This window comes from Homo sapiens, chromosome 4 (assembly GCF_000001405.40).
Source record: "Homo sapiens chromosome 4, GRCh38.p14 Primary Assembly".
Classification (NCBI taxonomy): domain Eukaryota; kingdom Metazoa; phylum Chordata; class Mammalia; order Primates; family Hominidae; genus Homo; species Homo sapiens.
Window position 1 is genome coordinate 158,182,558 of NC_000004.12, and position 24,542 is coordinate 158,207,099.

The 24,542-nt window shown below is 38.0% G+C and overlaps 1 long non-coding RNA gene and 1 pseudogene across 4 annotated transcripts in view; both read left to right on the plus strand.

Annotated features, from left to right (window-relative positions):
* The window catches only part of GASK1B-AS1 (GASK1B antisense RNA 1), a 32,126-nt gene extending 11,806 nt beyond the window's left edge, over positions 1 to 20,320 (plus strand). For 2 of the 4 annotated variants that reach the window (NR_147407.1, NR_147410.1), the window contains 3 exons: positions 16,231 to 16,313; positions 16,531 to 16,929; positions 18,855 to 20,320. This is a non-coding gene — a long non-coding RNA (GASK1B antisense RNA 1). Of the gene's footprint in view, positions 1 to 16,230; positions 16,314 to 16,530 lie in introns of all 4 variants that reach the window. The other 2 variants (NR_147408.1, NR_147409.1) reach the window with 2 other exon arrangements.
* On the plus strand, positions 268 to 836 carry NUDT19P5 (NUDT19 pseudogene 5; annotated as a pseudogene).
* Positions 20,321 to 24,542: the final 4,222 nt, after the last annotated feature.

Consider the following 24,542-nt stretch of genomic DNA (forward strand, 5'->3'; position numbering starts at 1 on the left):
TGCTTTATAACTAAAAAATAAAAACAGCACTTTCGTGGGAACATCATATAGAGAATGTACAGTATGCTATCTATATTCTGAAAACCGACTGAAAATTATAAAACATGTCAAAAATAACAACAGCAAATGACCAACACAGAGGGAAAAGGGGGGAAATTTAGAAATAAATTAAAAAAAAAAAAAAAAAACCCAGGCTCCATCCTTCAGGAACTCGAGAAGACCTGAACGCAGCTGCTGTCACTGCAGTCTGAGCCTAAGCCTGACGCATCAACTCTGCGTCACTTCCTGTGCCTGCACGCACGCTCCGACTGCGTGCCCGATTTCCGGGCTCTGTGCTACTGGAGCGCCTGGCTCTTGCAGCTCACGAGCCTGGGAAGTCGCCTCTATCCAAAGGCCTTTTTTCTGTGCTGTCTGCGCAAGCTGCCTTCTCCCTGCCTGCCCACGGGAGCATGACCAAGGTGGTAGGCTGCCAGTGGCCATCTCCATAAAGGCAACTGAAAGTTTCATACTGGAAGCTCTTTGGCTGGCACTCCCACAGTTCTATGAAATAAACTTACTTAAAGCTCTATGAAGTATGAAAACTTTGCCCTGCTCTTTGACTTGCACAAATTTTGTTTGTATGGTACATTAGAAGAGAGAAAAGGACGGCTTGCGATGGCATTATTAACTAATGGAGCACTGCAATTTTTACCAGGAGATGAGCTATGCTTAGAAGACTCAGACTTTTTAGAAAATCATTTCTCCACTTAAAAAAAAAATTGAAGGAAGGCAAGAAATTTCACAACATAGTGATAAACAGTCACCATCTTTATAGTATCCATATAACTATTCAAAAATAAAACATTTTTCCTAAGACCTATATGGTAAGTCAGTAGATAAGAGGCTTTTGTAAAATGCTACTTATTGGTAAGCTGACTTATATGAAGTAGTCCTAATGAATAATGAGGGTTGACTAGTCTTGTTTGAAACCGTGCCTGTGAAAGTTATAGCAGTCTTATTTAAAGTGTATTATGGTGCTCTCTTGCTTAATTGAATCTTTAACATTGTAGTATGCCACAACTGTAAAGTATTAATGATATTATTACCAAAACAAGAAAAAATTATTTTATTATGTCAAGAGTTTAAATAAGATGTTCTGCTGCCATTGTTCTAACTGTCCAGTGTATTAACACTCCTTGATGTGCTTAGAAGGTGGATCCATGAATTCCTTAGACTTTCTGCCAGAATTAAAAAGTGTCTAATTAAATGGTGAACAGTAAGTAGACTGAGGCAAATTTCCAGTGATGTTGTCATTTTTTTTTTTTTTGCTATGCCTTTAGCTTGAGGATTACAACACAATTCTATTTAAAACCAAATGGCATTAGTTCTTATCTATTCCCCAGATTGAAAATCTATTTTAAGTCAATATTTTAAAGAAATATGAAGCCATAACAAAAGCTACCATTATTTTTGCTCTGAAGTGCTAGTTAATGAATGCAAAGAAGATAGATTTAGAACTATTCATCATTTAATGTTTAATGAAATTTATTTTCAGTATATTTTATATGGGTTTTTTTACCTCCTCTAAAGAGGAATAATGTTTATTGATTAAAAGTGAAAAATAATGGTTTAGACACCAATTCTTTTTCAAGATCTTTGACTATATTACGCATTGTACAATGGATTTTATTCTTCATGAAATTTTTTAGTTTCCCTACTGGTAAGATAGAGATAATGACTTAGAGAGAGTTCTACAGGATACTCAGACTTTAAAATACTTAGATTGATCGATAAAAGAAAGTAAAGCAAAAGATAAGGAGTGGGAGAATTTCAACAGAAAATTAGAAGCTATAAAAAATCAGTGGGACCAGGCACAGTGGCTCATGCCTGTAATCTCAGCACTTTGGGAGGCCGAGGCAGGTGGATCACAAGGTCAGGAGTTTGAGATCAGCCTGACCAACGTGGTGAAACCCCATTTCTACTAAAAATACAAAAATTAGCCAGGCATGGTGGTGCGCTCCTGTAATCCAAGCTACTCAGGAGGCTGAGGCAGGAGAATCGCTTGAACCCAGGAAGTGGAGGTTGCAGTGAACCGAGATCATGCCACTGTACTCCAGCCTGGGTGAGAGAGTGAGACTCTGTCTCAAAAAAAAAAAAAAAAAAAAAAAAAATTAAGTGGACATTCTTAGTCTGAAATTTTTTAGAAATCTGAAATTTAAAAAAATTTATTTGGTTTTAAAGGCAGATAGAACAAAGCAGAACACGAGGTTTATGAAATTAAAAACAGGTCCCTAGAAAATATTAAATATAAAGGCAAAGTGTTAGAAAAATAAATAGAAAAAAATTAAAACCAAGTGTTTAAGATATGTATTGGACACAGTTAAAAAATCAAACATAGGTGTAACTAGATGACCCAAAGAAAAGAGAAAGACATGGTGGCAGAACAATATTTTAAAAGATGATGATAGAATTTTCAAACTCAAAAAACTTATCAACCCAAAGATTAAGTAAGATCACTGAATTCAATACAAGATATGTACAAGGAAATTATCAATAAGCACCTCATAGTTCACGTATTAAAAAAACAAAATATATACAATTGAAAAGAGAATTTATAAACTAAAAGGTAGGTCAGAAGAAAATACCCAAACGGACACACGGACAGTTAAGAGGATGGAGAATCCAGAAAGGGCATGAGAAACTTATCAGATATAATTAAAAGGTTTACTCAAGGTACAGAAAGAAAGGAGAAGAAAATGGGACTAAAACAATATTTGAAGAGAAAGTAGCCAAGAATTTTTCAGATTTAAGAAATGCTACAAACCTCCAGAAGGATAAACACATTTCCATTTTATAAGAAGCAAGCAATATAAGGTTTGGATAATTGAGGTTTCATTGTATTTTTATGGAATATTAGAACTGGAAGAGACCTAAGAGATAAACTAAATATAACCCACTGATTTTATAGAAGCAGCAGCTTGAGGGGCCTACCAGTAAATAACTTGAGAGTCAGACAGAATCAGAACTCTTAAATTCAAATTAAGTGATATTTTCACTATACAAGACTTTCTCTCCTATTTAATTTTCTTAAATTAAATCAACAGCTTTCTCAGAAGATATAGAGCATTCTATCATTTTAAATATAGATTTTCCTAAACTACTTTTTAAATCTTTCTTGTTGACTTTCATAATGTCAGGCATATTGATAGTGAGAAAGAGTAATGTTAGTCACTTGTTCAAGGTCACATGTTAGAGGCAGATGAGGGACTAAAATTCAGGTCTCTGAGCTTTCAAGTGCGGAGTGTTTTCCACATGTATTTTTTTTTTTTAGATGGCATTTGAGCACTGCAACTGAAAGCAAAAACTACTGTTCTTTCACCTTCATTTTTAGCTTTAGCTATTATTTGTTGGGTGATCCATACAATTTTGTTTGTTTGTTTGTTTTGTTTTGTTTTGAGACAGAGTTTTGCTCTTGTCATCCAGGCTGGAGTGCAGTGGCATGATCTTGGCTCACTGCAACCTCCACCTCCTGGGTTCAACCAATTCTCCTGCCTCAGCCTCCTGAGTAGCTGGGATTACAGGTGCCTGCCACCTCACCCCACTAATTTTTTGTATTTTTAGTAGAGACAGAGTTTCGTCATGTTAAGCAGGCTGGTCTGGAACTCCTGACCTCAGGTGATCTGCTCGCCTCGGCCTCCCAAAGTGCTGGCATTACAGACGTGAGCCACCGCACCCGACCAATCCATACAATTTCTAATCCAATTCTCTGTATTATGTGAAAGGGGAGTGGAGGAGTACAGGAGAGAATGGAGAAAGCAACTATGATTTGATAGCAAACTTATACCTTTTGTCTACCTAACATTTTTTCCTCATTTCTTCTAGTAATAGACCCCATCACTGTCCTGGATGTAAGAATGAATACATGGCTAAGCTATGGCAAAAACAGTATATCTCCTTGTTAGGACAGCAATTGGCCCACAGTTGAGAACTTTACTCAAGGTGGGAATATTAGCCTTCTTCCAGGACTTTTACATTGAGAACATTTAATCTCTAGTCATGAAGCAATGAGTTTATGATCCCAGGAAGAGGGATGGTGCACATCATTTCAGCCAGCTTGAGAAAATGAAGTCACTGTTTAGAAAGATTCACAGGAGGAGAAGGAAGAGAATAATACAGATTAGAGCCTCTAGTTCGATGTTCCATCATCCCTGTCCTTACCATAATTAATGTGCCAATAAATTTACCCTTTTGCCTAATAAGCTCAAATTGAGTTTTAATCACTTTCATTTCAAAGATTTTTTATTGATGCAGAGATTTGTACAGATGGTCCCCAAGTTATGGCTCAACTTACAATTTTTCAACTTTACAGTGATGCAAAAGCTACATGCATTCAATAGAAACCACACTTTGATCTTTTCCAAGGCTATAGATATGAGATGATAATCTCCCGTGATGCTGGGCGGCAGTAGTGAGCCACAGCTCCAAGTCATGTGACCATGAGGACTGAAAAATGATACTGTACTCTATCATGTACTATACACAATAAATTACATGATATATTCAACACTTTATTATATAATAATCTTAGGGTTAGATGATTTTGCCTGACCATAGGCTAATGTAAGTTTTCTGAGCATATTTAAAGTAGGGTAGGCTAAGCTATGATATTTGGTAGGCTAGGTGTATTAAATGCATTTTCAATTTAGAATATTATGAATATATAATGGATTTATCAAAGAGGTAAGTCTAGGAGTATTTATACTTAGAACTGAAATCTTGTCAATTACAGACTTTAAAATGTGGAACTTGCTGAAACAAGATGGCATAGGAACAATGCAAATCACTCCATCCCCATCTGGGGGTACAATGTGCCTGTTATGTAATGGAGTAGTTTGAATAGTGCCTTCCAAAAATTCATATCCACCTGAAACCTCAAAATATGACCTTAATTGGAAATGGGGCCTTTGCAAATGTAATTAAGTTGAGGTCATACTGAATTACAGTGGGTCCTAAATCAAATGACTGGTGTCCTTATAAGAAGAGGAGGGGGCACACAGAGACACAAAGAAGAAGGCCATGTGAAGATGGAGGCAGAGACTGGAGTGATGCAGCTACAAACCAAGGAAGCCAAGGATTGTGAGAGCCGCCAGAAGCTAGGGAAAGGCAAGGAAGTATTCTTCCCTGGAGTCTTCACCAGGAGCATACCCCGCTGATACCTTGATTTCAGACTTTTAACCTCTAGAACTGTGACAGAATAAATTTCTGTTGTTTTTAGCCACCCAGTTTGTGGTACTTCCAGGAAACTGGTACATGTAATAACAAAACAGTTGGTTAAATCATTGCCCATTGCATTTAGGATTCAGACAACATGCCTGCTATGTCTGAAATTTTAGAAAATAGAAAAATAGGCAGATACTTCACCATGTTCATACTTCTTATAGATTGCAGGAAGATGCTGGAGAGAAATAAGCTTTAGTTAAAACCAACTCATCTGAAGAAGACTCAGAATATTCGACTCATAAAACAGGTGACAGATGTAGGTTTTGTGGGTCTGACAATCATACAGTTTGGAGGACCCTATTTAACTAAAAGAATACAAATTTAGATACTAAAGAGAATATTTACTTAGAAAATACATAAAAACAAGTTACAACATTTTAAAAATTGATAAATACCATAAACATCACAATTTTAAAAATTTAATAAATTACTACTGTTAGTATCATCATTAACTGCCTGATACAGCTTTATAATATTTATTCTACATTTTTTGGCTTGATATGCTTTGAGAAGTTCTTTATGTAGCAATGATTTTTTCAATGCTTTCTCTAGGGAGGATAGAAAAATAACCTAGTCTTTAATATTATTTACTGCAATTTATTTAAATTTAGAAAATGTTTTTCCTTTTCATATCTAGTTATTGAATTTTGCTCCTTCTAAATATCTCCAGTTTCTTGCTCTCATGGTTTTTTGTCTGGGAACAAGCCCTCAGAGAATCCCAACCCTTTGATACAGCCGAGTATGCCTGCCCCAACATCACACACACACACACACACACACACACACACACACACACAAACTTCTGCAGCACCTGGTCTAACCTGTCCAGATTTCACTTATTTTCTTCACTCCTTCAAGTTTGGGATTTGTGATGTTAAACAGCTATGAAGCCTAATTCTTAGGTCCCCAAGTCAGAGATGAGAACAAGGAGTAGTTCAAGTTCTTCTCATTGGGGTTAAAGATAAGGTCCAGAGGCCAGGTGCGGTGGCTCATGCCTATAATCCCAGCACTTTGGGAGGCCGAGGCAGGTGGATCACCTGAGGTCAGGAGTTCCAGACCAGCCTGACCAACATGGTGAAACCCCGTCTCTACTAAAAATACAAAAATTACCCGGGTGTGGTTGCACTCACCTGTAGTCCCAGCTACTCAGGAGGCTGAGGCAGGAGAATTGCTTGAACCTGGGAGGCAGTGATTGCAGTGAACCAAAATCATGCCACTGAACTCCAGCCTTGGCTACAGAGCGAGACTCCATCTCAAAAAAAAAAAAAAAAGATAAGGCCCAGATACTTGACTGGGTTCACCAATGGTTGTTCCTGGAGGCCAGGAGAACGTAGAAATAGTGCTGATAGCCCGCTCTCTCAGACAACATGCCTGCTATGTCTGAAATTTTAGAAAATAGAGAAATAGGCAGATACTTCACCATGTTCATACGTCTTACAGATTGCAGGAAGATGCTGGAGAGAAATAAGCTTTAGTTAAAACCGACTTATCTGAAGAAGACTCAGAATATTCGACTCATAAAACAGGTGACAGATGTAGGTTTTGTGGGTCTGACAATCATACAGTTTGGAGCACCTTATTTAATTAAAAGAATACAAATTTAGATACTAAAGAGAATATTTACTTAGAAAATACATAAAACCAAGTTACAACATTTTAAAAGTTGATATATACCATAAACATCACAATTTCAAAAATTCCATCCACAATGGAAAAACACCACCAGGTCTAAGAGTATAACCTTTAAGTTGGGGCAGCCCATTTGCTAATGTGCAGCCATGGCTGCTACTTCCTCCCCAAAGGGGAAGTATAAGTAACAAGCACATGAGCTTAAGCTTCTTTAGGTTCATGATACATCCACCTCTGCATACAGCTTGGGTTAAAATAGGCCCATTTTGCCATTGACCGGCAATCCTAGACAGTTGGACAGTCAGGAACTATGCTGACAACAAAGCTGAATTTTCTGCCTTCACAATATAAGATGCTTCATGATCTTCTCTGCTCTCCTTTCTCCGAGATTGAGTTCATTGTTACCTCCTCTTTCTCCCTCTGATTTATTCTCTCTCTGTACATCCAATAGTTACCTCTGCTTATTTGCAATATTACACTTATTTCATGACATTGACATTTGTTATTAGCTGTATGCTTTTTTTTATTTTCAGGTGAGAAAAACACGAAAACGCAACTCAAGCTTCCACAAAAAGAAATTTGGTGGGTTGTGATCTCTAGAACATATGGAGGTAGATAGAGTAGGTTCATGCAGTTCAGTAAGGTCTGGCTGTGTTTCTCTGTGATTCTCTTGGCATTGCCCTTGTCCAAGGGCTGGTTTCATCCTCAGGCTGATTTTCCCCCTAATCACAAGGTAGCTGCCTGAAGCAGCAGACCTTACTGCTCCCTCTTTTATGTTTAAGTAAAAAAGATTATAAGCATCCCACAGCCACTCAACATTTCTGAGCTTTGTGCAGAAGCCACTCTTAATAAAAGGGTGTCATATAGGTTTATGCCTTGGTTGCATGCTCACTGAAGAACCAATAACTATACTAAATGATTTTGAATTGTCCCTGGACTTGGCTATGGAATTGCCTGGCTGCTACACAGTGGGAAATGGTTAGATGTTGGGTATGCAAACAAAATGTCCATTATAATCATGGTGGATTCTCTTTTTATAAAACTGTAGATCCTAGAAGATAAAACCATGAGGTCCTGGAAGATAGAGACATTGTTGATTCACCTCTGTATCTTCAGGTCCTAACCTATGGCTGGCATATAATGAATATATCGACAGCCACCTGAAACAAAATAATAATTGATTCTCCCCAAAACTATTTTTGTCACCAGCCATTTCTGTAATTCTTAAAGAATATTATAACTGTAATAATCTCACTCTCCATGGTTACAATTTTTATTAATTGCTTCCTGGGTCTTTCATTTGATTTCAATACATTGCTGATTATTTTTAGAGCTGCCATTAACACAGATTTCAATCACTGTCCTGTTTTCCCCTTGAGCAGTGAAGCGGTTGTCATGGAAACAGAATCCAGTGCCTCTTTCTCAAGCCTCACATCAATGCAATTTGATGAAAGGAACTAACACTCTCTCTCGTACCTGTATTTTATAAGTCTGAAGATCTATTTCCTGTAAAAGATGCAAGTCATTACTGGGGTAAAGCATACTTGATGATGCAAGGATTTGACAGCTTGTCCAAAAAGATGTATCAGAGCTCTCATCTGGAAATAATGCCCTAATCAGTGTAAGAGAAAGGTTTTAATGCTTGAATTGACTAAAAATGTGAAGTCACAAGGTAGATTTTATTTAAAGGTGGGAGGAAGAATAATTTTAATTGGCACCACTCATACAGCACAAAGTCACAGACTAGTAGCCTTTCCCAGAGAGTCCCATATGGTGATTATGTGGGAAGAAGGCTCATTTCCCTCAACTCCACCCTATATAAAAAACTGGATTTGAAGTCTAATCCAGGTAGAGTGGGGGTAGGGGGAGGGAGTAACTTCCCAAGCATCTCTGGATGAGATAGCTCGGTCAGCCAAGGGAGAACCTTTGGAGAAAGTTGCTGGCCTAGGCCTCAACTTCTGCACTTTCAGCAGCTGGGGGAAGTGTATATTGGCTACATGGGCAACTCTGTAGTAAACCAACAGCATCAATTACATATAAGTATAAAGGATTCATCACCAAATTTTTGTCACATTCATCAGGACTTTATGGAAACGATTCACAGGAGGGTCTAGTTACAGAAGGGTCTAGGACCAAGTCCTAAATTCTCAGCTAGGACAAATTTAATTAGACCAACCTTTAACCTTGTCAGCATGCTGGAATATTTTATTTGGTGGCTGGATGTGCTATGATGAAATTTTCTATCATGTCATGAGATGTCTGCATAGAGTAGCCTGTATATCTCTGAGGGTAGCCTGGATTAACCCAAGGACATGGTCTAGGAGAAGCCAGGATAAGGCAAATACAGATGACAAAGGGGCCAGGGGAGTTGGGATCGGGGAAGGTTATAATACTAGGGCCAACTATACCCACAGGGACCTAAAGCATACGGACCCAAGCAAAGCAGATGTAATGAATAGAAGAGCTACAGCCAAGTAATCATAAAAGCAGTATTGAATCCCAGAAACAAGCAGGTAACAATGAGCTAATATGCCAGAAACAAAACTGGAAAGGTACGTGTACAGACTGGAAAAGGATTAATAAACTGAGATCAGTATCAGAAAAAGGGACGAGGCAGATGATGAGGCTGGGCTGTAAGACAACAGTTGGGATCCTACCCAGTAGATTTCATTGCAGTAGATTTTTCCCAGTACAATGTTTTAAAGTGGGCAGACAAAAGGCTTCTTTCTGGTTTTGTTTCGTTTTTTTATTATCTGCTTGCTTGGTTTACAATATGGCCCTATCAAGACTGTATTTTAAAAGATAGCAATCAGTATATCTGCTCTTGGTCTATGTATTCTTGGTCTCTGAATAAAAGGAAGATTATCCATGAGCTAGATCACAGCTGATTCTCCCAGTTGTCCTGGCTGCCACAGTTGTTTTTTTTTTTTTTTTTTTTTTTTTTTTTTGCTTGCCTTCGTGTTAGCCACATCCCAGCTTTTCCCAAGGAAATTTCAGTTATAGTTATAGGAGCCATCTCATCACTTTTCTAGGAGAAAATCAAGTCAGTGTTATTACAGGAGTTGGTTCCTCATACCACCAGGTTTAGAAATATTTTTTGTGTCAAAACATGTACAGGCTTCCTAGCACCAAATACCGCTACAACAAAGCCAGACCACATTTGGCCTAATTTTAGGACTCAAGGGTATCCAAGGCTGGCAAGATCTATGCCGGGCACTTGGAGCTGTTTTCTTGCCTTCTTCATACTAGGCCTATTTCCAAGGGGCTGGGTACAGATCTTGTTTTCACTTGTTTTGTTTTGGACAAAATTCTTGAACTGCTCCTACGTGGACTCTTAGTTTTTGATCTGTACCACTTGAACCATACACCCCACCCTGCACCCCTTGCCCTCACTGTGCCCATTCTTGCTTTATCACTCATTCTTGTTTTGACGGTCCTACAATACTCCCCTCACTCACTCCATGGTAGAATTTGAGGAGGACTAGATCTGAGTGAGACACTATTATAAAAGATGATCTCAGAGGAAAGCTCAGAGCTGGGCCAAAGCCTTGTAAGCCTTTGGAAGGACTTTGGCTATTACTTTTAGAAAAATGGGAAACCACTAGAGCAAGCTTGTCCAACCTGTGGCCCAGGCCACATGCAGCCCAGGACAGATTTCAGCACAGAACCACACAAATTCGTAGACTTTCTTAAAACATTATGAGATGTTTCTGCAATTTTTTTTAGCGCATCAGCTATTTTAGTGTTAGTATATTTTATATGTGATCCAAAACAATTCTTCTTCTTCCACTGTGGTCCAGAGAAGCCCAAAGATTGGAAGCCCCTGCATTAGAGGGTTTTCAGCTGAGAAGTGGACATGGTCTAAAAATAATGAAAAGGGATCACTCTGGTTGTTATGGTAGAAATAAACAGCAGAGGGAGCAAGAGTGAAAGTAGGAAATCCAGCACAATAATTCAGATTGACATGATGGAGGCTCGATCCAAGTTGTCACAGTAGAAGTACCAAGATGTGGTCAGATCCACGTATATATTTTGAAAATTGAGGGAAAGGATTTCCTGACAGATTGGATATGGGGTATGAGAGAAATGATGGAGGCAAAGCTGACTAAGGGTTTGGGTCTGAGCAATTATTTAAAAACTTACATAGTGTTTCAGGAAATCATGATTGTGCCAGACATAATTCTAAGCACTTTACCAATCACAACTCATTTAATCCTCAAAACAGCCTATGAGATACATGCTACTAGAGTGCCCAAACTTGATGCACAGATTGCTTACATGATTTGTGCAAGTTCCCAGTGAATGTTGTTGCCACTAATTGAGATGAATCAGTACAGGAGTAGAACAGATTTGGAGCAGAACTAGGAGCTTAGTTTTACACTTTTTAAGGTCTAGAGACTACTAACAACCCACTTGTCCAGGCTCAGTCAACTTTTGCTTTCAGCTGGTATTAGTCCATGGTGTATACTTCTTACCTGCAGTGGTTATATCAGGTACTCTAGGCTGGCACCAGGGGTCCCACAGCTTGGTCATCCACTGAAGCTAGTGATATGCTGGTAAATGCGTAACAACCAGCCCTCCAAGGGAAAAGAAATCTAGCATTTGCTGAGTATTTGCTGATTTGGGTGGTGTAAATATTCACACCATAGCTGATTTTATACAACCACCATGATGTTATTAAAAATGGACGTTGGAAGAGATGCACACTATCTGCCCTCCGCTGTAGTGTGCCAATGACTGCAGCCACTGCAATAATTTTAAAGCCCTAGTTAATATCTAGAAATGGTATGTCAGGGCTCTCAAGTGAGAAGGAGAATTTATGGTTGGAGACATAGCCAAAGTAGCTGGGAAAAATAAGTTAGGCGCTTGAACTAGAGTTTTAATTATGTATGATAAAGGAAATATAGACAGAATAAATTCAAAGAGATGGAATAATGGAGGGGCTGCATAACTATAGGAGAGCGAAATGGTTGGAATAGCCGATTCTGCGTTAATGTCATGAGGGTGGGGAGCAGACATGACTATGATGGAATCTGAAGAGATTTTAAAGTCAGGTCAGCCAATCAGAAGAAGTCTCAGAAGTAGGTAAAGGTGCAAAAATGACTTTTATTGCTCCAATCAGTGAGGAAAGAAGCATTTGAGAACTTCAATATCAGGCAGTAGCAGAAACACTCAAGTGTTTGCTAAATGACTGCTCCTACAAAACACCTGATCCAGGAGGAAATTTTTAAAATGTTTCCAATGCAGTGTGTCCAGGGCAGGTAAAGGAAAAGCTCCATAAGTGATTTATGTATAATATAAGATTTGGGAACCTGGTAAGTACCAAAGGCAGAAGGATTCAGGATATCAAGGAGTCCCAAGAGCAAATAAAGGACACCTAATGATAAGAGTAGAGTTTAGGGTCAGAACAGCACTGACTGAAAAGAATAGAATGAAGATGACACAGCAGTGACATACATAGGTGGGATACATAGGTGAGAACTGATGCTGAGACCTAAACACCAAGAGAAGTTAAGCATGCTTAGCAAAAATTCAGAAAGGGTCCTGTACACATCACCAAGAAATTTTTTAAGTTTATTCTAAAGGCAATGGGTGCCAAGAGAAAATACCATTCAGGGAAATGACATGATGATTTACTTTTAAAGTAGTGTGGAAGATAGAATGCAAATAAGCAAGACCGAAAGTAAGTGAACTAATTAAGGAGGCACATCATGCAAAAGATGATGAGAGTGTGAACAATGGCTGTGACAATAGGAATGGAATAGTGAGTCTGTTTATAGAGCTATTTTAGAGTTAGAACTGACATAGCAGGATATCTGGATATGGATATCTATTGAATATAGAAGGAATAGGCAGAAATTAAGAATAATTCCCACATTTTTGACTATGGAGAGTGAAAGAGAAAACTTGAGGAGGATTCCCACATTTTTAACTAGAATGATTCAGTAAGCAGTGTCATTCAGGGAGATAGGAATCTAAGAAGAAAAAGAGAGATGGGAAAATGTGTGTTCATCAGGACTCTTGATTGCAAATGAGAGGAAACTCATCTGCCTTAGGCAAAAAATGACTTTTATTGCTGCACCGAATCCAAGAAAGAATTAAACCAACAAACAATGGTATAGTGGACTCTGGTAGCTATAGTGCTGTCTTCTCAGAATGTATTACAATATCCTTTATAGTAACTGTACCCTTCACTTCTCATGTTTTCTGTAAAGCTGTGTCTGACTCTGACTTATCCACAGACACAGAAGTAGCATATGAGCTGGGTCTAGCCAGAGTGATTGGTTCAAAGGTGGTCATGAGACCTAAACTACACCAATCAGGAGCCTTCATTAGACTTTTCCCCTACAGCCTTTGTCTTCGGGGTCATCCTTTAGGAAGGATGAAAAGACACTGGAGCAGCTTGCAGCCATCTTCCTCAGTGCCCTAGAAAAAGCATAACTGCATGAAGTCCAGTTGAGACTAATTCAAAAGCTAAAATAAGCAGAAATGGGAGATATATAAAAACAGAAAACTAGCAGTCCTGAAGTGCCAGAAGCATAAATAGAGGCCTGGTTACTGCAGCTATTTGATTATATTAGCTACTTTGATGTCCTTCCCAATTATATAAGAAAATGAATACTTTTTTTCCTTCTTAGTATAGTTAGCAAGGGTATCCATAATATAAAGTACAAGATTCTTCATTAATACCTGTTGAAAAGATAGCCTACTGAGCCCCAGGAAAAACTAGATCTAGCCACCAGAATGTCACCAGAATCTAGTTTTCTACCTTTCATCTGTACCTGTCTCTGGATGTCAGTTTTATTCTTTCTCACTGCAGACTGTTTTCATTCGTATAGTCGGAAATGTGACTACAAACAGCTCCCAAGTTTTACTTCTGATAGGTTTTATCTCCGAAGGGAACTGCCTTTTATTTTCTGTGCTTCCAATTTCAAATATTCTAAGGAAGGATTGTAACTGACCCATCTTGTGTTACATAATGGATCAAACAGTTGTAACTAGAGTCTTAAAATACTATGATTGGCTTAGCTTGGGCCAGGTTGACATTCCTGAACCAATCAAATGGGAGCCAGGGTGGTGGGCTCATGCAAGAAAATGGCAATGCTCATGGAAGCTGTAAAATTAGACCAGGGAGAGAAACAATTCTAAGAAGAATAGAGGTTCTATTTCCAGAAGAAGGACAAATGTAGCTATAAGTGCCTCTTGTAGGAAAGATGGTATTTTAAACATGTTGAATTGTTGAATTTGAGACCCCATGGAGGATCAAAAGGAGGTCAAGGAAATGCGGCCAGTTGAAATTATTACTCAAGCCTGCAAGAGAAAATTTATGCATTTATCTGATTTTGATGAAAAAGATTATTTCAGATTATAAATTTCAAATTCCATATATGGTTTTACCCCAAATTTACCTAGGTCTCTAGGTTTCAAAACAACTTTGCACATGTAAAATGATTATGCACTGTAATACAGTAATTGTCAATTAAGAGAAAGGGTTGTGAATCACAGAGGCAAGACCTTAGGAGAAAAAAAATCCTGATCTATGTTTCTCCCCTATGAGGAAAGAGACAAAGCTATGGACTAGCAGAGCCTGAAGACCCCAAGATTTTTGGTCTAAGAAACTGTAGTATTGCAACTGATAAAGGGAAGATATGTCTAGGGCAGGTTTGGGGTAAGTTTGAGTTGTCTCTCAGACGTCCAAGTGGAGATACTGAGTAAGGTATTAGATATATGGGACTGGATTTCAGAAGAGTGATCTGGGAACTCCAAAATTAAGAGGTTAGGAATAAAAGGAAGAGCCATCCAAGGAAACTGATGAAGAAGCTTTGAGAGTAAAGGAGAATAACCAAGGTAATGTGGTGTTCTAGCAGCCATGTGAATGCAAAACCTGAAAGAGAAGGGAAAAATCAATTGTGACAGATGCTGCTGAAGAGTGACACAAATAACGACAGAGAATTAACCATTAGACTTAGCAAACTGGCTGCCACTGGTGATTTTGACAGTTTCTATGCAGTAAGAAGAGCAAAAGGCAAGAGTTACACTTTAGCCACAAATGCCAGCCGACAAGGCAGAAATTAGATGGGTCGTTGTCCTGGAAACTAGAGGATTTATGAGACATAGCATCTAACATCTTAGGACTCTGATTCATCTATGTTCATAATGCCCTGAAAGCCCCACCCCTTCCCTCAGACACAAGGACACTACCTGAGGGAGATAACTCGGGGGGTTGGAGGGCTGTGTAATAAACTAAGCGTTGTTTGTGTTTTACTTTTTGCCAAGGCAGACTATTGATAAAGCTTCTGCCTAAATTAACAGATCAAACTAAGCTTTAAATCAAAGTTAATGTTTTTTCTTCTTACCAGCAGGTGTAGAGAAAGAACAAATCAACTATGACAAAACTAATAAAACTATATTTTATCCTCATGTTGGATGTGTTACCTGTGTTAAATCTTTAACCCTCATGTGGGTCAAATTTTTCTTATGTTTTCACTAGTAAACTTCCCATATCAATTCATAGCTTATGCTTGATAATTTTTTCAAGCATATCTGATTTTTTCTTACAATCATTAATATTTGACAACTGTTAAGCTGTATCTTACTGGTGATTTTGGTTCATGAAATTGAATAATATCCAGGTAAAATCCTAAAGGTAAAAATCAGGATAAGTTTGAAAATGGGTCATCCACCTGAAAAGTAGAAGAATAATGGGAAGAGAGTCAAAATGAGAGGACTCAGGAGTTAGAAACAAAAAGAGAGAGAGAGAGAGAGAAGGGGTAGTGGATGAAGCAGGCTTAGATAATTTTTGAAAGTGCATGTAAAAAGACACATTACAGTTTTCACCTTCTATAGATACTTATTTGCATGTGTATTTCAGATCTCATTAAAGTTTCAGAATAAGGTGCATATCTCACAATATTTTGGAAAGCATATTAAGAACTAATAACACAAGCACTGAAATCAGAGAAAATTTGGTTTAAGAACTAGCACTACCACTTATTAGCCACATGGATCTGAGCAAGTTACTCTTTGAGACTCAGAATCCTCATTCATAAAATGGAGAAAATAATAGTATGTAACTCACCAAGCTGTTCTAAGAATTGAACAAGATGATGCAGATAAGGCTCTCTTTGCAGTGCCTTCCCAAATAAAGGCTCAATAATTATTAGTAGTTATGGTTAGTGTTATTATAGATCATTGAGAAGTCTTTCTTTAGAAGCCTTTTCCATCAGTACCTTTTTTTTTCTTACTTATTTCTCCAGCCCTCTTAGGGCCCTTGAAGAATCTCATCAATGATACTCTCACCAGCACCTTCAATTACCTTTCTCCTCTGTATTTTCACCAAAGGTATTATGCCAACTCTCACCCTGTGAATCCACTGACTGGGGAACATTGTTTAAGAAAATCACATGGCTGTGCCAACAAGCAAGGTAGGAACGGCCATGTGGTGACCTGTGGGCTGAAGTTAAGTGTTGTGGTTTGATCATTGTGTAAGGTAGAATCAGAGCTGGATCTCAAAGAATGTTGACTTCATTTCTTCTTCCTTTTTTTTTAATTAGTTGATTTGTTTGGTATATTTATTTACTTATATATTTTTTGCTTTGGGTTTTGGTTTTGTTTGCTTTAAGTTTTGGGAATTCCTTACAGGAGACACGGCACAGAAGACAGAGGCAGAAGCAGCTTTATTGAAAAACAGAGCATGAGTAGAACGACTTCAAATCCCATATGGCACCACAGTGAGAAGTAACTTCCTCTGAGCTTCTTAGAGAATCCAACAATGTCCTGCTTCCTTGGGGAGCTGCAGCCATGGGCACATGGGAATAGGGCTTCCACCAAGAGTCCCGTCAGTCACAGCAACAGGAGGTCTTCCTCAGACAACTTTGATGATAGTGGTTGTTAGCCAGAGCAAGCTAGAACCAGAAAGAAAAACTATGAAGATGCCACAGTGGGAGTCTGAGCACCTTGAGGCCTCCTGTTGGAAACTGGCAAACCTAACTGTGGGACACTTGGATGCTGAGTTCTGGTAAACATGCTGTCGGAGGCACGGTAATTTAGTCATTAACATTTAAAAACGATCTAATTCTATATACATACTCTGTTGAAGACTTCTTCCAACCACCTTGTATTATAAATTTAAAATATGAAATACAAACTCTTTATGTGTCTTGACTCAGATTACCTAGGAAGGGACAGTGACCTATTCATCAATGTTTAGAATTAGAGTAAGTTATAGAATATAGTCTGAGAAAATTACTTGGACCAAGAAAGCAATGTCCCTGACATTCATCAATCTAGAACCAGAGCTGCAGATTAAGCTAGGTGCAAATTTATCAGAAAACAATATTTTTCCCAAATACATATTGCAGCCATAAAATGCCCTAAAAACCCAGTTCTTAGAGGGACTATTGCTTACTTACTGAGAAATTGTATTCTCTGAAATCATAGACTATGAGATGCATTGCTGTTTAAAATTATTGCAATAAGAATGAAACATCTCACTCTTATCTGGAGGAGTTAAGTCATTGTGATCAGTGAAGCCTTGATTTAAGCTCCTGTGCAAAGCTTCAGAGAATGGGTCTCAGGACACAACATTTGACATCTATTTTGACTTCATTTCCAAGAAAATAGGACTGCTATGGTTTGAATGTTTGTCTCCCTCAAACCAAGGTGTCGGAGGTGGGGCCTAATGGGAGACGTTTGGGTTATCAGGGAGGGTCCCTCATGAATAGATTAATGCTCTCCCTGGGGGTAGGGAACAGTTAGTGAGTTCTTGCTTTATTCATTCTCAAGAGAGCTGGTTGTTAAATAGAGCCTGGCGCCTCCCTCCTCCCTCCTTGCTTTCTCTCTCACCGTATGATCTTAGCACATTACACCTCCCCTCACCTTCTGCCATGAGTGGAAGCAGCCTGAGCCTCTCACCAGGAGCAGATGCTGGTGCCATGCTTCTTGTACAGCCCACAGAGCAGTGAGCCAAATAAACCTCTTTTCCTTAGAGATTGCGCAGCCTCAGATGTTCCTCTAGAGCAACACAAAATGGACTAAGACAAGAACCATAGGTCCATTTCACAGTACAGAGCTGAGGTTGACCCCTTTTATACACAACCATACTTTCTTAGAGCCCATAGAATATCATTTCATTTACATCACACCTAAATTCCACTCTTTAGCAAAATCTTATGTTAACCCTATATTTTCCTTTGTTTGATGAGATACCCCACAATTGCTCTGTTGTGCAGTCCCCACACTGCAATGAGTCAGTAAACTCAATTGGTTTGTTTACAGGTTGTCCCTGGTGGTTTTAGGCTGATTGGGCTAAGACAAACCACATCTTATTTTTTAAATGTCTCCTTTAAGCAAATGTTATTATCTGTATTTTACTCTATTCCATAAGCAGAAGTGACAAAGTAGTCTAATTTTACCAAAAGATGCTTATAGCATAAAACTTTCTATGCTGTAAACATAGAAAGTACTTGAAATCAAAAAGAAAAAATTACTGTCCTTAAAATGAAAAAAAATATACACACAGAGTTGGGGTTTTTTCACTTTACTAAAGCTCAGGCTGTGCTTATTACAATAGAACAGTGATCAAAACTACAGCTTTTTTTCCTCCTTTATAATATGACCAAACAAGGGTTAGTGGCAATGAGCACTGCATCACTTAAAAGATACTGAAAAACTTGAAATACTGATGAACCTCTAACAAACACCTTCTTCCCAATCCTCACTCTTGACCTATGACCTTGTTTCCTTTTCACTGAGAAACAGAGAAAAAATTAGATGAGAATGTGTACAAGCTCTCACCACAAGATCTTCCTACCTCCTCTAACTGCACCTATATACTATTACTATCAAAGATCCCTCTGTGTCCCTAACAAAGGCTATTTCCTCTCCTTTTGCACTAAATTCCATATACTCATGCCTATGGGGAGACATTGTTCCAGTAATTATCTCCTTTCCTCTGCTTGGGTCAGCCTCTAGGATGGACCCCCATGATCCCCACCTCCTGGTATCCGCGCCATGATGCAATCTGCTTACAGCCTAAATCAGGATGAACCATATGACTCATAGAACACTGCAGAAGGCATGATGTGTGACTTCAGATGTGAAGTCATAGAGGACAAGGACACAGCCACCTTCTTGGATTTCTCACTCTGTGGAAGGGCAGTGACATTCCATGAGACAAGCAGTCCTGTGGTGAGGCCCATGTCAAGAAGGCCTGAGATCTCCCACCATCAGCTACAGCCAATTTGTCAGTCACGTGAGTAAACCACCTGGGACGTGAATCCTCTCGACTTAACCACCTCTTCAGGTGGCCAGAGCCCTAGCCCAGGTCTGACTGCAACCTGATGAGAAACCCTGAGTAGGAAGACCTGCTTGAGCTGCTCCCAAATTATTGATCCACAGACACTATGAGAGATAATACGTACTTAGTGTTCTTTTAACCCACTACATTTTGGTTGGCTGTATTTATTACCCTGTAACAGATGACTAATACATCTCCTGTGATCAAAACACTTCAGAGGTTCCCCATTTCTCTCAGAGAAATATCCAAAGTCCATAAGGCCTGTGAGGCCCCTCACATTCTTCCCACCCCCATTACCTCTCTAACTCCATTTTCTACCACTCTCCTTCTTTCCACCTCAACCACAGCTACAGTGACTTCTTTGCCCTTTCTCAAATCTGCCTCAGGGCCTCTGTACTGGACACTCTCTCCCCACTCCCACTCCCTCCTCCAGGCCTTCACTGAAATGTCTCCCTCTCAGTGAGGACTTCCTTTCCTAAACTGCAGTACCCCCAACCTACACACACACACACACACACACACACACACACACACAGAGTCTCTAGTCTTCCTAGCTCCTTAATTTTTTTTTCCTTAGCACATATCACTATTTCATATACCATATTTGTCATCTATTTTCTGGTTTCCCTTTCTCAGATGTAAGCTAAGTTGGTGCAGGGGTTTTTGTCTGTTCCCAATGTCTAGAAGAGTGTCTGATTTACAGTAGACACTCCATGAAATTTGTCAAATGAATACACCAGTGTTAAGAGTATAAGAGTGTAATAGTACCTTTAAAAATGCCTCAAAGATAAATCTTTTGATTTATCTTTATTTTTAGATCTCTACCCCCACTTTAGCCACTTCTGAAATTTACTACTAGAAAAACCTTTTCTTTCGTGAAGAACTGTCTCACAAAAATAGCAGTTAAATAGGAAGCTATCCTAACCCACTGTTTGCCTTTTCCCTTGTGAAACTCAGACCAAAATTGAAAGTCATCTATTGTAACTATGTGTTCTTGGCATCTAAACTCTGTTTTGTTTCATCTTGACTTTCTTAATTTCCTAGGTTTTTTCCTTTGTTCCTATTATTTTATTGTTTTTATTCTATATTGCTTCAAAGACTTTATGAAATTAAGTAAATTATAAATACAAATATAAGTAAGTATACTAGTCTTTTCTTAAGCTCACAACAAATTATTACAGGTATCTTTGATTCAGTTTATTATAATTACAGAATTGTAAACTTTTCAAGGAATAAATCTTTAAAATCAACAAAGGTAATATTTTTATTATTTATTGGGATATTCTTTTTTTTCTTTTTTTTTTCTTTTTTTTTGAGACAGAGTATCGCTTTGTCACCCAGGTTGGAGTGCAGTGGCTCAATCTCAGCTCACCTCCCAGTTTCAAGCGATTCTCCTGCCTCAGCCTCCCAAGCAGCTGGGATTACAGGCGCCGCCACCACGCTTGGCTAATTTTTTGTATTTTTAGTAGACACGCGGTTTCACCGTGTTGGTCAGGCTGGTCTTGAACTCCTGACCTCAAGTGATCTACCCACCTCGGCTTCCCAAACTGCTGGGATTACAGGCATAAGCCACTGTGCCCAACCTGGGGTATTCTTATTGTAAAACATTTTACACGAAAAATATACTTTGAATCAGGAGAGAAACATTTCAACACAGCATCATTATTTCTCAGTAAAATGGCACATTTTTCCTAATTTCAGATTATTCTTGGAAAATTTTGTTTGCTTCTATGATATAATAAAATTCTGCTTGAAAATTACGTGTTAAATTGATTCCTTCTCCATTTCCAAAAAACAGAGGAAGGGTTATTTTAAACAATAAAGTGGTTGATTATGTTATCCAATGAATCAGCAGGTTTTTTACTGCCTTCACCAGTCATCATTTCTCATTATACACAGAGATCCTCAAAATGAGCAGCAGATACACTCAGTCTGTAGGATCATTTAGCAACTCGGGGAAGGAGGGTAAGTAGCCTAGATTTTTTTAAAGTTCCCACACCCAAACATCTCAAAAGATCATAAAAAGATAAACAAGTGTTCAGAGATTAAATATGGAAAATATTGGTATTGGTTTTGATTCTATAGACAAAAATAAAATACCACTTGGCAGTAGATTTCTCACTTTTTAAGTATTCTTGTATTTGGTGAATGGGTAAAAAGATAGTCAAATGAGTTAAATATACATTTAAATAAATGGGCAAATATGTATTATCAATTATCAGTTATCAACCCCATCAATTATTTCATCATATCTAAATACATATAATATATATTCCTCGGCCTGTAAAGTAAACCAACCCCGTCAATAATCTCATTGTATTTAAATATCTATTTAATATATAAATGTTCTACATTAATATATTTAATATTTAATATGTTGGTCAATATTAAATATGTTTAATAAAGACATATTTAATAAATAATAAATATATTTATATTTCATGTTTGTATACAATATTAAATATATAAATATATATGCAAATATGATAAGATCATTTAGGGGGTTGGTTTCCTTCACCAGGCTGAGAAAATAGTTTAACTGCCATAAAATAATCACAAATTTAAAATAATGACATTTTCGCACACTATTTTCAGAGCAGTTTTAGATTTATGAAAAAAATCGAGGAGATAGGAATAGAGTTCTCATATAACCCCTCTCTACTCTCTCACAGTTCTATTAGTAACATCTGCGTTTGAGTTGTACATTTCTTACAGTTGATGAACCAATATTGGTACATTATTATGAACTAAAGTCCATTGTTTACATTAGAGTGCACTCTGTATGTTGTATAGCTCTATGGGTTCTGACACATGCAAAAGGCCCCAGATGTAGTGTATCTAGGTTAATGTTCTATACGAGCTTGAGAAGAATGCGTATTTTGCTGCAGTTGAATGAGATATAACTATCAATTAAACCCAGGTGATGATGGTACTGTTCACTTCTATTATATTCTTACTGATTTTCTGCCTGTTCGATTTGCCAATTACTAATAGAGGAATACTGAAAACCCCAACTGCAATAATCTATTTGTGTCTATTTCTCCTTGCAGTTTTACCAGTTTTTGCCTTACCTATTTTGACACTCTGTTGTGAGGTGCATACACAGGATTGTTATGGCTTATTGGACAGCTGGCCCCTTTATCATTATGTAATGGCCTTCTTTATTCCTAATAATTTCCTTGTCTGAAGTTTGCTTTGTCTGAAGTTAAAATAGTTATTCTAGCTTTCCTTTGATTAGTGTTAGAAAAATATATTTTGTTGGGCGTGGTGGCTCATGCTGTAATCTCAGCACTTTGGGAGGCTGAAGGAGGAAGGTCTCTTGAGTTCAGGAGTTCAAGACCAGCCTGGGCAACATAGTGAAACCTCATCTCTACAAAAAATTAAAAATTAGCTTGTTGTGGTGGCACATGCCTGCAGTCCCAGCTACTCAACAGACTGAGGTGGGAGGATCACTTGAGCTCAGGAGTTCACGACTGCAGTGTGCCATGACTGTGCCACTGTACTCCAGCCTGGGTGATAGAGTGAGACCCTGTTTCAAAGGTTAAAAAAAAAAAAAGGAAAGAAAAGAAAAATATAACTTTCTCCATTCCTTTTGTGTCTTTATAATTAACATGGATTTCTGGTAAACAACGTAGAGTTGATGCCTGTATTTTATTCAATCAGTCGTTGTCTTTTAATTGGTAGACCATTTATATTTAGTGATACTTGATAGAGTTGGATTAATATTTCCCATATATTAATTGTTTTCTGTTTGTTGCCCTTGTAATTATTTCCCTTTTTTGTCCTCCCCTCTTCATATGGTTTGGCTCTGTGCCCCTACCCAAATCTCACGTGGAATTGTAATCCCCATAATCCCCACCTGTTGAGAGAGGGACTTGGTGGGAGGTGATTGGGTCATGTGGGTGGTTTTCCCCATGCTGTTCTCGTGATAGTGAGTGAGTTCTCACAAGATCCCATGGTTTTATAAGGGGCTCTTCCCGCTTTGCTTCCTCTCACCTGCTGCCATGTACAACATGCCTTTGCTTCTCCTTCGCCTTCTGCCATGATTCTAAGCTTCCTGAGGCCTCCCCAGCCATGCAGAACTGTGAGTCAAACCTCTTTCCTTTATAAATTACCCAGCCTCAGGTAGTATCTTTATAGTAGTCTGCAAATAGACTAATATACCTCTTTTGCTCCCTTTTCTAGTTTTAATTGAGCATTTTATATGATTCTATTTTCTCTCCTCTCTTAGCATATCAATTATACTTAAAAATATGTTTTTAGAAATTGTCCTAGAGTTTGCAGTACACATTTACAACTAAGTCCACTTTTCAATAACACTATACCATTTCACAGGTAGTGCAGGTACTGTATAAAAGATTATTCCCAGTGCCTCTCTCCTGTTCCTTAAAGCATTGCTGTCATTTATTTCATTTATTCATAAACTAATATCACCCAATATATTACTGATATTATTATTTTGAAGTTATCTATGCGATCAATTAAGAATAAGAAACAAATTATAGGTTGGTGGATTTTTCTTTCAACACTCTAAATATTTCACTCTACTCTCTTTTTCCTTGCATGGTGTCTGAGAAGTCTGATTAATTCTCATCCTTGTTCCTTATAAGTAAGGTGATAGTTTTTCCTCTGACTCCTTTCAATATTTTCTCTTTATTTTCCACAATTTGTATACAATATGCCTACATGTAGTTTTTTTAAAATTTATCTTGCTTGGTGTTATCTGATCTTCCTGGATCTGTGGTTTGATGTCTGTTATTAATTTTAGAAAGTTGTCCACCATTATTAGATACCTAGATAACTATTATTTATGTATCTTCTGCTGCTTTCTTTCTTTTCCTTCTGGTATTGCTATTACCTGTATTTTATGCCTTTTGTAATTTTCATACAGTTCTTGGAAATTGTGTTTCTTTTTCCTATTCTGTTTTCTGTTTCCATTTAAGTTTGGGAAGTTTCAACTGACATACCTTCAAGCTCACTGATTCTTTTGCAGCTATCAAAAGTGATTCTCTTTTCTATTGTAGTATTTTTTGTTCTCTAACATTTCCTTTTGATTCTTTGAGTTTTCATCTTTCTGTTTATTCGTTCTTGCACTTTTCCCAGTTGATCTCTTAGCATATTAGTCATAGCATATTTTAAATTTCCAGTCTCATAATTCCCAAATCCCTGCCATATCTGAATCTGGTTCTGAGGCTTGCTTTGACATTTCAGAGCTGTGTTTTTTCTTGCCTTTTAGCATGCCTTATAATTGTTCATTGAAAGTGAGGCATGATGTATCAGATAATAGAAAACAAGATAAGTAGACCTTTAGTTTTTATGTGTATTGGGCCAGAAGTTAGACTGTGCTTAATGGTTG